This window comes from Homo sapiens, chromosome 3, assembly GCF_000001405.40.
Source record: "Homo sapiens chromosome 3, GRCh38.p14 Primary Assembly".
Classification (NCBI taxonomy): domain Eukaryota; kingdom Metazoa; phylum Chordata; class Mammalia; order Primates; family Hominidae; genus Homo; species Homo sapiens.
The window spans coordinates 99,785,844-99,799,897 of NC_000003.12; the positions used below are offsets into that span (position 1 = coordinate 99,785,844).

Consider the following 14,054-nt stretch of genomic DNA (forward strand, 5'->3'; position numbering starts at 1 on the left):
GAAAATTAATTTCTATTGAGCCACCCAGTCTGAGATACTTTGTTATGACAACCAGAGAAAACTATATGGTAGGACTGAAATCTACAGAGAAATAAAAGGAAAATAATTATCTTCCAGGAAAAAAGAATATCGTAAATAAAGAATTCAAAATGAGGTCAGGCATGGATGAAGAACATACTTTTGAAATGAGTCTATATTAGTGAAAGGTACCTTCAACTAACATTGTAGTAAACAGGACTCTTTCCTTTTTTCCCCATACGTTGTCTTAAGAAAGATACATCTCTCAACCTTCACATCTCTATCCAAAATTTACTTCCTCAGATGTCATTCCCTACCGTTCTTTCCAAAACATCGGAGCTCTTCCACTCTGTCATTATTGAACCCTTTATCCTGCTGCTATACATTGAATGTTTATGTCCCCAAATTCATATGTTAAAATATGACACCCCCCTCCGAAAGTGATGGTATTAGGAGGTGGGGCCTATGGGAGATAATTAGATCATGAGTGCAAAGTCCTCATGAACAGAATTAGTGCTCATATAAAAGAGACTCCAGAGAGCTCCCTTGCCCCTTTTATCATGTAAGGATACAGCAAAATGGTGTCATCTATGAACCAGAAAGTGGGTCTTCACTAGACAACCAATCTGCTGGCACCTTGATCTTGAACTTCCCAGCCTCATGAACACTGAGAAATTGCTGTTCTTTATAAACCACTCAACCTATGGTATTTTGCTACAGCAGCCCTAATGACTAAGACACCTGCATTGCTTTTTCAAAGCACTCAAATCTCAAATTATAAAATGTATTTTTAACATTTATCACCTGTCTCTCCACACTAGACTGTGAGTTCAATAAGATAATACCTCCACTCTCTAATTCACCACTGTATCTCCAATACTCAGAACATTTCCTGTTCTGAGTGTTCAATAGGTGTTCAATAGGTATATCTAATGAATGAATTGCCCTGAGAAATGCAATCAAGAGAGAATTTTCTTTGAGAGGCATGGAAAAACCAGGAAGGCAATTCTGGTGAACACTGGAAGAGGATTCTGCCTGACTTTCCCTTGCTTTAGGGTGGCAAATCTGAGGGTCTTGAGAGACTACAAATCTTGTACAAGTAGGAGGCACAGAGGACCAGCCCAGGAACTGATTAGAGAGGCTTATACACACCACACACAACAGAGACACACATACATACACAAAGACATGCTGTGTTAGCCTATGTGAAAGGGAAAGTTGGATTCAAGGCAAGGACCAACAGATTAAATATTTAAACATTCTTCTGTATAGTAAGCCAATGAGGATAAACGTACAAATAGAATGCTGATGAGCATTTAAAATATCTATCACATTATTCTGTTAATATATGTATCACATTACTCTGTTATGTACATTACAGGTCATATGAGGAATCTGAAATTCTCTGCAGCCCTGCTCAAATATAGGAAGCCATTTAGGGCTGTTCAAAGTATCTAGGATTGGTTATTCTTGACACATGAATGAATGACTGCCTTGGTTCAGCTGTTCTTTTTCTAAATCATTTTTAACAAGTGCATTTTAATGGCCATTACTGTTTTATTCATGTTAGGTTATCATTATTGCAGTTAACCTCACATTTACTTTGCTAGTATCTTTCTTTGAAAATCTTTGACATTTTAGTTGGTTTTGATTTGTCTTTCTGGTCACACTCCATTAATAATAACTTAAATCTGAATAGTCCTTTTTGGCTTATGAAGAATTCATATTATCATTTGTACCCCTGAACAGCTCTGAGGGATGGGCAGAGATTATAATTGCTATTTTACAGGTAAGAAAACTGAGGCTTAGTGAAGATAAAGGACTTGTCCAAGGTCATAGGCATGAAGAATGGCAGAGCCAAAACTTAAATAAAAGTCTTTTGACTTCTTTGACAGTGCTTTTGTCATATGACATGACACCCATCACTAAGCCAGCCTGGCTGGCAAAGATTCAATGTTCACACACATTAGATATGCTTATGTTCAAGAACACAAATACACACACACACACACACCCACACCCACACACACACACACCAGCTGTCAAACAAATAGAAATCAAAGAAAATATTAAGGAGAACTCACAATATTATTGTGTCCCACATTCTCAGAAAGAGAGGCATGAAAACCCACTATCACAATTTCTTCCCAGCAAAAATTCCAAGGCTCCTTCTTTCTTGCCAGGTGTTTGTATAAAGTTACCCAAATTTGATGTTCTTTTGAGTGATTTGGGAGAACCCCCATACCACTTTGACCACCAAAAATATCCTCAGGGACAGGAGAAAAATTAGTAGGAATAAGTAAAGCAGTAAATTCTAACCAGGGCCCTTATATAAATATTCACGTTAAAACTGAACAAAGTTTATTTAGATAAAGAGCCAGAGAAATGGCAGAAGGCAGACCTAAAGAGCTGGTTTACAGGACAGATATGCTGAGCCTATGAGAGGAAATAATTCAACTGGTATTCTTCCAGGCATTTCATCTCCTTCCAGTTTTCCAGTATTTCATTAGATTGTCCTGGTTTAAAGATTATGAAGTATAATCCAACATATCCACTGAATTGATGGAAGGCTGAAGGGCCAAACATGCTAGCTTATTATTAAAGACTTCACCACAAGTCTGGGGTTCCATAATTAAATTCATTCATCCCCAAAAGTAGAATTAAGTACCAGCTTATACATTACCAGATATTACCACACATTTCTGGTATGGATTAACACTTTCAGATCTCTAGTAACTGTCTTACAGACATTGAATGTTAGAGCTAGAAAAGACTTAAGGGAACATCCAAGTCATATTTTAATAAATGAAGAACTTAAAGAAATTTGTTTAGATGCACATAACTAGACAAGGAATAAGTACTGATCTTTGAGTGAAAAAAGCAAAAAATAGAAGTGTGTATAGTATACTGCAATTTATGTTTGAAAGGGATGTATATGATATGTGCATATCCACAGACTATCTGAAAAATATGAGGAAAAATTGTTGCTTCAAACATAAGGGATTTTAGATACTGGAGAACAGAAGTAGGAGGAAAATTTACTTTTTACTAGATATCCTTTGCTACTCAATAACAGTTTACACATCTGTCACCCCCACTAAGAGTACAAACTCCTTGATGGTAAGGCCCACCAGCCATATTATATTCATCTTAGTAATCCAAAATGGGCCTAGCAACTGTTTCTTCATTTTTTCCAGGGAAAAAATGATTTGTTAGTGTATTTAGAAAGATTGTAAAGCTTGAATTTTGTGATAGGGATTCATTTTAAATATTTTATTAGGTGTTTTATTAACCAATCCTTTTGTAGCCTGTATACACTCTTGGCATTACCCTGGAATAGGATATTGCAAAATCAACGCACATTTTCTAAGAAGTAGAAAACTATGATCCAGAATTAAGTAAGGCAAAAGCAAAGAAAACAACTCTCAAGAAGATGGAAATTGAATTATTTACAGACAGAAGTTTCTTCAAAGTTTTCCAGAAGATACTTACATTAAAAATTGTGAGAAATTTGCCACTTCTCTCTCTCTCTCTCCAGCATTATGATGACATGTCCCTTAAGATTCAAATTTTCATTAAGTCCCTTTATACATTGTGAGCATGGAGTTCGTGTATGCCCAGCATTAGAACTACAGAGGGCAGGGAGTGGGCAGGCAGAATATTGAACAGACCTAAGTGTGTATCACACTTGCCCTCTAGTGTGCATTTGCCAACAATGCACTTCTCTGGGCTGTCTGGTTTTAAGCCTAGGGCGTTTCCAAACAGAGGTCTTTTCAAGCTGGTTTTTATAAACAGATAAGCCCCATTTATATTAATTCTGTTTACTGCTAATTTGTAAAGAGTGCTATTAATGGGCTTAGAAGCAGCGTATTCTTATTAATAGTTAAACATCTCCCTCTTATTCATACAACTCTTGCTTTGTAAACTTTCTTTCACAAAAGGACAAAGATAGACTTTAATGGTCCAATTAACCAATTTCTAAACTAATGAATTCATAGTATTTTAATACAAGAAATAAAGGTGCATAATTATGATAGTGATTTTTAAAATATTTCATACTATTACATGAAGAAGCATTTTCTCTTCAACTCAGAAGACTTCTGCAGGCTTTGTTCCTGTTTGCTCTTTACATTTACATTTATTTGTGACTACATCAAAGCAGCCCTCATCTGGCAGATGAAAAATCTCTACTGTAGCATAAAGCCTATAAATTATCAACTGTTTCCATTTAGAATATAATTTTGGCACTTATTAACAAAGCCTAACCAGGACTGAGGTTTATTCTAGCTCGTTTTATCATTCTCTGTGCACTGCATTCGCCTCATGGTCCAAGATGTGTGGTCTGTTTCCAGTAACATATCAGCAATCCAGCCAGAAGGAAGGAGGAAGGGGAAGACATATCCACTCCTTTTTAGGATTCTTCCTGGAAGGTACACCCATGACAACTATACACAATTGGCAAGAATGGCTGAAATGGCCCTGCCTGGCTGAAATGTCTTCATTCTGGGCTGCTCTATTCCCAGGTGAAGACGGGAAAACAGGGCAAGAAAGGCAGAATCGATATGGGGGACAACCAGTAGTCTCTCCCATAGTCTATGTTCCTACCAATTGCCTTTATTTGACAGATTCCACTATTCTCTATTTTTTGTTTGTTTGTTTTCTATAGAAAGTAGCATTTTCCTTTTCATTTGACTTCTATCATGAAGTTCTGATGTTAAAGACTGTTTCCCTTTTTTTTCCCCATTCTATCTCTAAATAAACTCAAGTCACTTGGCCTTGCAGAGTTTCACCAAGTTGGTGCATTGGTTCCTCCCACAGGTGATGGCTGTGCTGCCTGGCCCTCTGCAGCTGCTGGGAGTGCTGCTTACCATTTCCCTGAGTTCCATCAGGCTCATTCAGGCTGGTGCCTACTATGGGATCAAGCCGCTGCCACCTCAAATTCCTCCTCAGATGCCACCACAAATTCCACAATACCAGCCCCTGGGTCAGCAAGTACCTCACATGCCTTTGGCCAAAGATGGCCTTGCCATGGGCAAGGAGATGCCCCACTTGCAGTATGGCAAAGAGTATCCACACCTACCCCAATATATGAAGGAAATTCAACCGGCGCCAAGAATGGGCAAGGAAGCCGTACCCAAGAAAGGCAAAGGTAACATCATACTCCCAGGCTGTTATAAAACAACAGCTTTCCAAATCTCTAAATTATGGGATCAGAGGGGGAAGATAAATTTTAGAAGCTTTAGTTTTAGAATTTGTTACTGGCATTTTTAAAATGCCTACTGTGTTCTAACCATATTCTTGAAAACTTCAAGCCTTAAAGACACAGATAAGACTACCATTTATGTTTTGCTTTATTATTTTAACTAGCATCAGATGAAATAAAATATATTAAATCACAAATAGTCTATCCCCTTATTGTTTATTTATTCAAACATTCAGCAACTATCTATAGTGAGCACCTATTTGTGTCAGGCTCTGGGCCAGATGCTGGGAGCTAAAGCAGTGAAAAAAAAGAAAGGTGACAAGTCAGTCTTCTGAACTAAGAGAGCAATGTTGTAAGGACCTGCTGTGTTAAAAGAAAAGTCACAGGAAAGCATTTTGCGAACTAAGTATTAGACAGGTGCAAGTGTTCTTAATACTACTCTAATTACATATGTCAATCAATAGATCAACAGAAGGAAACTAAGAGTATAGACTGCATCTAGGGATGACACCTGAAAATCTCTCCTGTTGCTTTCTTGGCGTATTTATTTAGCACCAACAAAATGCCCCTCAGTGTGACAGACACTTGACGATAAATTCATTTGGTTTGTCTGGAGTTCTCAGAAACCTAGTACTTGCTGCATCAGAGCAGCAATTACCTTTGAGGAAGTGGAGCCAGTCCCACTAGTCCCTACAATGGCAGGAAGCTCCACCTCTGGAGAACTACTGGATTTGGAACTTAGAGGCCTAGATGCCTGGATGCCAGAAATGAGAGAGACCTAGTCATTTGACCTTTCAGAGCCTATTTTTCTTCATTTGTAAAATAAGATTGTTGAGAGAATCAGTGACATACATAGTAAGTAAAGTGCTGAGTAAATGCTAAAGCACCATAGGAAATTGGAGTTGCTACAACTGCTCATTCAACAAATCCTCAGTAAGAACAGAGTGTGTTCCAGGCTCTGTGCTAGACACCAGGGATTCCTGATTCATCTCTCCTACTCTTCCCCAGATAACTCCTCAATACAGTAACTACACAATTCGCTGGTTAGAAATAGCATGCCTGAATAGTACTATAATCATATCTATTCATGTAAAGAAAGTATTCCTGACTTTCTTCTCTTTAGGAGCTAGTATTATACTTAGAAGATTATCTCAGACATTTCTTTTCCTTCCTTTATTGAATGGCTTGCCTTGCCTTTGGCACTTCTTGTACTTACTCTGATGGATCCTCATATCTCGAAATGAGTTCTCTGTTTGTATTTTATTCTCTGACAGTAGCTCAGCAAAAAGTACAATGGTCAGGATTAAGGTGCTACTAGTGACATAAGTATTATGCCAAGAAGATATTGGGACCATATATTTCATTTCTCCATGTTATCCATTAGTCCCAGCAGCATGGGAGATCCAGAGTTGTGTTCATCTGAAAGGCACAGCATGTTCATTATAACAGCACGTGCTGTGTATTTCAATAACAATTTGAGAAACGGTGACACCTTTCACATCTATTCTCTAATCTTGTAGTGTGGCTGTATTATTCTTATTCTTGCTGTACAGATAGGCAAGCAGAGATGCTGACAGCTTAAGGGACCCAGTCACAATCTCACGCCAAGACCAGAAAGATAAGCAGAGCTTCTTGTTCCTAAGTCAAGCTCTCGACTTCATCCATACTGTTTATCATTCTAAAATATCTTATTCATCTCTCCTACTTAAAAGCCAGATTTGTATATGAGAAATTATTTGTTAAATTAATGAACTAATATTTGAGGCTTAGGAAATCCCACAGCACCTTCAAGAAATTAAGCAAATCTACTAATTCTAAAGGAGAGATGTGGAAAGATGTTATTGAACCACACAAAAAATAACTCTATTCTTTCCTATTTCACATCATACTGTATTTAAGCATAAGAGGAAATATCTTGGCCATAAATTATTATATTTAAAAACTTTGCCAGGCACAGGAAGAAAAATCCTGCATATTCTCTCTTAAATGTGGAATCTAAAACAATCGAACTCATAGAAACCCAGAGGAGAATGGTGGTTACCAGAGGCCTTGGGGTGGGGCAGGAGGGAGAGAATGGAGAGATGATGATGAAAGGTTTAAAGCCTCAGTTAGGCAGGAGAAATAAGTTGTTTTTTGGATATCTATTGCATAGAATAGCGAGTATAGTTAATAATAATGTATTACACACTTCAAAATCACTGAAAGAGTAAATTTCAAATTTCTCACGAGATAAAAATAAGTATTTGAAGTGATAGATATATTTAGCTTGATTTAATTATTCCACATTGTATTCATGAATCATAGTATCACTTTGTACCCCATAAATAAAATACAACTATAATTTGGATAACAACTCCAATATTGTTTAAAATACACACACACACACACACACACAGATAGAACAAATGAGATGAAAATATATATACATGTTAAGTGGTTATCTCTGAGTAGTGGGCTTATAGGCAAATTTGATTTTTCTTTATACATCTTTGAATCTTCCAAATTCACTATAATAAACACACCATAATATCTCCAAGTTTTATACTTGGAAAAATGTTTCTTCTTCATTACTTTTTAGCTTCTTTACTTAACCAATGTTGATACAAGCAGCTTCACATATCAGTTATCAAAAAAATACCTCAAATACATAAAAAAAAATTGTCAGCTTGATTTTTCTTTCTTATTTATTTATTTTTTTCCTTTTGGAGATGGAGTTTCGCTCTTTCACCCAGGCTGGAGTGCAGTGGTGTGATCTCAGCTCACTGCAACCTCTGCCTCCTGGGTTCAAGTGATTCTCCTGCCTCAGCCTCCCAAGTAGCTGGGACTACAGGCATGTGCCACCACACCCGGCTAATTTTTGTATTTTTAGTAGAGACGCGGTTTCACTGTGTTGGCCAAGCTGGTCTCGAACTCCTGACTTCAGGTGATGCATCTGCCTGGGCCTCCCAAAGTTGTAGGATTACAGGCACGAGCCACCATGCCAGGCCTGATTTTTAAGGTCTAGAAGATGAGCATATTATTCCTAGTCTTTTCTCTTGATAAGTATTAGGCAAATGTGTCAGAACTAAATAATGGTTGTCAGTACTTCATTGATGTGAGAGACAATCTACTAATCAATCTCTCTCTCTCCCCCCATACCCCTTCTCTCTCTTCTCTTCCCAGTAGAAATACCATTAGCCAGTTTACGAGGGGAACAAGGTCCCCGTGGAGAGCCTGGCCCAAGAGGACCACCTGGGCCCCCTGGTTTGCCAGGTCATGGGATACCTGGAATTAAAGGAAAACCAGGGCCACAGGGATATCCAGGAGTTGGAAAGCCAGGTATGCCTGGAATGCCAGGGAAGCCAGGAGCCATGGGCATGCCTGGGGCAAAAGGAGAAATTGGACAGAAAGGGGAAATTGGGCCTATGGGGATCCCAGGACCACAAGGACCTCCAGGGCCTCATGGACTTCCTGGCATTGGGAAGCCAGGTGGGCCAGGGTTACCAGGGCAACCAGGACCAAAGGGTGATCGAGGACCCAAAGGACTACCAGGACCTCAAGGCCTTCGGGGTCCTAAAGGAGACAAGGGCTTCGGGATGCCAGGTGCGCCAGGTGTAAAGGGGCCTCCAGGGATGCACGGCCCTCCCGGCCCTGTTGGACTGCCAGGAGTGGGCAAACCAGGAGTGACAGGCTTCCCTGGGCCCCAGGGCCCCCTGGGAAAGCCAGGGGCTCCAGGAGAACCTGGGCCACAAGGCCCTATTGGGGTACCGGGGGTTCAAGGACCTCCTGGGATACCCGGAATTGGAAAGCCAGGCCAGGATGGGATCCCAGGCCAGCCAGGATTTCCAGGTGGCAAAGGGGAGCAAGGACTGCCAGGGCTACCAGGACCCCCAGGCCTTCCAGGGATTGGGAAACCAGGCTTCCCAGGACCCAAAGGTGACCGGGGCATGGGAGGTGTTCCTGGGGCTCTTGGACCAAGAGGGGAGAAAGGACCAATAGGTGCCCCAGGAATAGGGGGTCCTCCAGGAGAGCCAGGCCTGCCTGGAATCCCAGGTCCTATGGGCCCTCCAGGTGCTATTGGTTTTCCTGGACCCAAAGGAGAAGGTGGGATTGTAGGGCCACAGGGGCCACCAGGTCCCAAGGGTGAGCCAGGGCTTCAAGGCTTCCCAGGAAAGCCAGGTTTCCTTGGTGAAGTAGGGCCTCCTGGCATGAGGGGTTTGCCAGGTCCCATAGGGCCCAAGGGGGAAGCTGGGCAAAAAGGTGTACCAGGACTCCCTGGTGTTCCAGGGCTTCTCGGACCTAAGGGAGAGCCAGGAATCCCAGGGGATCAGGGTTTACAGGGCCCCCCAGGTATCCCAGGGATTGGGGGCCCTAGTGGCCCCATTGGACCACCTGGGATTCCAGGCCCCAAAGGGGAGCCGGGCCTCCCAGGGCCCCCTGGGTTCCCTGGTATAGGGAAACCCGGAGTGGCAGGACTTCATGGCCCCCCAGGGAAGCCTGGTGCCCTTGGTCCTCAAGGCCAGCCTGGCCTTCCAGGACCCCCAGGCCCTCCAGGACCTCCAGGACCCCCAGCTGTGATGCCCCCTACACCACCACCCCAGGGAGAGTATCTGCCAGATATGGGGCTGGGAATTGATGGCGTGAAACCCCCCCATGCCTACGGGGCTAAGAAAGGCAAGAATGGAGGGCCAGCCTATGAGATGCCTGCATTTACCGCCGAGCTAACCGCACCTTTCCCACCGGTGGGGGCCCCAGTGAAGTTTAACAAACTGCTGTATAACGGCAGACAGAACTACAACCCGCAGACAGGCATCTTCACCTGTGAGGTCCCTGGTGTCTACTACTTTGCATACCACGTTCACTGCAAGGGGGGCAACGTGTGGGTTGCTCTATTCAAGAACAACGAGCCCGTGATGTACACGTACGACGAGTACAAAAAGGGCTTCCTGGACCAGGCATCTGGGAGTGCAGTGCTGCTGCTCAGGCCCGGAGACCGGGTGTTCCTCCAGATGCCCTCAGAACAGGCTGCAGGACTGTATGCCGGGCAGTATGTCCACTCCTCCTTTTCAGGATATTTATTGTATCCCATGTAAAAACAAAAAAACAAAAAACAAAGAAAAGAAAGAGATTTTATAGAAGAAAATGACACACCAAAAAATCCAAATGAAAAACATAATTGCTTCAAAACACTTACACAGTTGGAAAGTTATATGTAAGTGAAAATTTGGACCATTGTGTACAAATAAAAACTAAGATGCATGTTTAATACTCCACACAGCAGCCTGTAATTGCGAATGATGGGATAGAGTTATGTATCAAGTACTGACACTTGGTTGTACCCACTGGAATCATATTAGCTGTTTTATGTTATATGCTTCCACAGTAACCTGCTTATTCAGATCAGTCAAAATATATCAGTATGAAAGATCATAGCTAATGAAAGGCACTCACTCATATTGTTTACTTTAAAATATTTATAAATATGCCTTAAAGAAATACAAATGATAACAATTACATACCGTATTTACTTGCTTAATTTCCTCTGTATTTGTGTAGATACTTTGACATGGAATATATGGTGGGGAGACCCGTAGTGTTACCGCCCCAGTGGGAGGGGGCCCTGGGGACCCTGGTAATGCTTTAGTCAAAGGGATATCTCTCTTGTATCAGAGGCTGTGTCTTTTAGTAACAGGAGTCCTCGTCAGAATTGCGTGTCTGTTGTCTCTAAAAGAATGGGTGAACCAATCGGCCTTTGTGAATTTATTCAGTGCCTTCTCTGTACCAAGCACTGGGTAAGGCACTTTTGTGGAGCATTAGACAGTAACCCTCAAGGAGCTAGAGAACCGGATGGGAGACATGAGCAGTAATTAACTCACTTGTTCCCCAGAGTTTCTATTTGTTTTGATTTTCTTTTTCTGTGACTTATTTTCCTATTTTCTTTCCTCCATGTAATTTTCACTATGGCCCAACTAATATAAACACCTGGAAATTACAAGGAAAAAAAATTCTTCCTCTAATAACTTTCCAAATTTGTGGAATATTTATTTGTAATAGCAGTTATCAGTTATGCTTATATAGCATTAAAAATTCTCCTCCTTTGACTACACACACAACCACAGTGTGGTTCTAATCATGGAGATATCAGTAATTTTTAGTAACTGAATTTTGAGGACATTTCTCTGTTTAGCATGTATGCAAACTGATATGTAATCTGAGGTTCCAAAGTCAATTTTTTTCTTTTTTTTTTGAGATGGAGTCTTACTCTGTCACCCAGGCTGGAGTGCAGTAGCACGATCTTGGCTTACTGCAACCTCTACCTCCTAGGTTCAAGCAATTGTCCTGTCTCAGCCTCCCGAGTACTGGGACTACTGTCTTGCGCCACCATGCCTGGCTAATTTTTGTATATTTAGTAAAGATGGGTTTTCGCCATGTTGGCCAGGCTGGTCTCAAACTCCTGGCCTCAAGTGATGCACCTGCCTCAGCCTTCCAAAGTGCTGGGATTACAGGCATGAGCCACCGTGCCCGGCCAAAGTCAGCTTTCAAAATCCAAGCCATAATTGGTGAGGGGGGAGTTTCAGAATTACATAGAAAAATTAATATTTGAAAAAATAATTCTGAAATTTCGAATTTAAAAACAGATGTGCTGCTTCTGGGTGTAGGTAGTAAAAGTATAGGAAAAGAACTGTTTCCTTAGAAGCGGACTGTGGAAGGGCTATGTAGAATGTCAAAGGGCAACAAGAGCCTGTGTTTTTAATGTCATCCTGTACTCGGCACAAATCAAAGGCCAATACAAGTCTGAAAAGCAGAAATAAATATTTTTCCAGGTTTTTGCTTGGGCACATACTAACTGCTTTGGGCATTCTAATCTGGTCTCCAAACACCAAAGACCCATTTCGAGCCTGCTATTAGCCTGCTGCTGACTCTATCACTTGGAGCAATAATGTGGGGTTATGGTGGTGGAATCTTGTATATTTTTGTCAAAAATAAAACCATGAGTTAAGGGGATAGATATAGATGGAAAAATACACAAATAAATACGGTATGAAAACACATGGAAATGTGTCTTTGTCAAATCTGAATCATTATTACCATCACAAAAATTCTTCTCTTGGCCAATATCTCATTTCCCTATATAGTATACAAGCACCATTTCTTCTCAATTTTTAAGAAGAGAAATTAGTCCATTACCACAGGGGTTCTTGTCACTACTAATTATACAACAATCTTTTCCCAACAAAAAGATGTCCTCCACAACCTTTGTTTTCAAAGCAGACAGCATCTATGTGGCCAAATATACTTTGGGTTGTTCTTGAGGATACTGGTTTTGGGCTGATGACTATGGTGGGCAGCATGGATCCATTGGGCTCCTTCTGCTAAACAGCCACATTGAAATGGTTTAAAAGCAAGTCAGATCAGGTGATTTGTAAAATTGTATTTATCTGTACATGTATGGGCTTTTAATTCCCACCAAGAAAGAGAGAAATTATCTTTTTAGTTAAAACCAAATTTCACTTTTCAAAATATCTTCCAACTTATTTATTGGTTGTCACTCAATTGCCTATATATATATATATATGTGTGTGTGTGTGTGTGTGCGCGTGAGCGCACGTGTGTGTATGCGTGCGCATGTGTGTGTATGTGTATTATCAGACATAGGTTTCTAACTTTTAGATAGAAGAGGAGCAACATCTATGCCAAATACTGTGCATTCTACAATGGTGCTAATCTCAGACCTAAATGATACTCCATTTAATTTAAAAAAGAGTTTTAAATAATTATCTATGTGCCTGTATTTCCCTTTTGAGTGCTGCACAACATGTTAACATATTAGTGTAAAAGCAGATGAAACAACCACGTGTTCTAAAGTCTAGGGATTGTGCTATAATCCCTATTTAGTTCAAAATTAACCAGAATTCTTCCATGTGAAATGGACCAAACTCATATTATTGTTATGTAAATACAGAGTTTTAATGCAGTATGACATCCCACAGGGGAAAAGAATGTCTGTAGTGGGTGACTGTTATCAAATATTTTATAGAATACAATGAACGGTGAACAGACTGGTAACTTGTTTGAGTTCCCATGACAGATTTGAGACTTGTCAATAGCAAATCATTTTTGTATTTAAATTTTTGTACTGATTTGAAAAACATCATTAAATATCTTTAAAAGTATGTTTCTCATCTTGTTCGTATCATTCAGTTGACACTGAACCTCACAAGTATTTTTAAATTCGTACTCTCATGAATTAGCTGCTGAAATAGAGACCTAAAATAAGCATAGCTTATACAGAACAATTTATTCCTCTTTGACTTAAGAGCTCCTAGGATAAGCAGTCTAGGACTCACATGGTAATTCCAATCACAGCCCCAGGCTCCTTCCATCTTATTGCTCTTCTACATCAAGGGTGTTGCCCTCATCTCCATGGTCCAGGATACTAACCATCAGTCACATTCTATCCCCGGGGAGGATGAACAAAGCAGGAAGGACAGGACATGCTTTTTGTCTTAAAGGACTCAACCTAGCAGCTGCTTGGATCACTGTCTCCCACATCCCGTGGCTCCAAATTTAGTCACGTGACCACAAGAAGCTGTAAGGAAGTGTGGGAAATTGAATAGTCTATGTAACCATATGCCCAGCTAAAAATCAGGGGTTCTAGTAGTATGGGAGAAGAGAGAATCAATATTAGGGAATAATTAGCTGCTGCATCTTCCACTTCCATCAAAAAAGAAAAAATGGCCACGGACTTCTCTTTTCCCACAAGAGACCAATCTTCAAATACTCCATTCTATTTCACTCTGCCACAAAAAAGCCAAATATTTTGAGGGGAGATAGTGGTGAGTGGAGGTAAAGG

General features: G+C 40.6%; 1 protein-coding gene across 2 annotated transcripts in view, besides 1 other annotated feature; it reads left to right on the forward strand.

Annotated features, from left to right (window-relative positions):
* Positions 1–13,374, forward strand: part of COL8A1 (collagen type VIII alpha 1 chain) — a 160,624-nt gene extending 147,250 nt beyond the window's left edge. For both annotated transcript variants that reach the window (NM_001850.5, NM_020351.4), the window contains 2 exons: positions 4,837–5,167; positions 8,387–13,374. In NM_001850.5, coding sequence (NP_001841.2) covers positions 4,840–5,167; positions 8,387–10,293 — 2,235 coding nt within the window. In that variant the 5' untranslated portion in view covers positions 4,837–4,839 and the 3' untranslated portion in view covers positions 10,294–13,374. The remainder of the gene's footprint in view (positions 1–4,836; positions 5,168–8,386) is intronic.
* Positions 8,328–9,327: an enhancer, noted in NCBI's record as "H3K4me1 hESC enhancer chr3:99513015-99514014 (GRCh37/hg19 assembly coordinates)". NCBI's record gives its function as "activates a minimal SCP1, AML or CMV promoter by ChIP-STARR-seq in naive H9 embryonic stem cells {active_cell/tissue: H9 hESC(naive)}" and the evidence as "EXISTENCE:reporter gene assay evidence [ECO:0000049][PMID:30033119]".
* Positions 13,375–14,054: the final 680 nt, after the last annotated feature.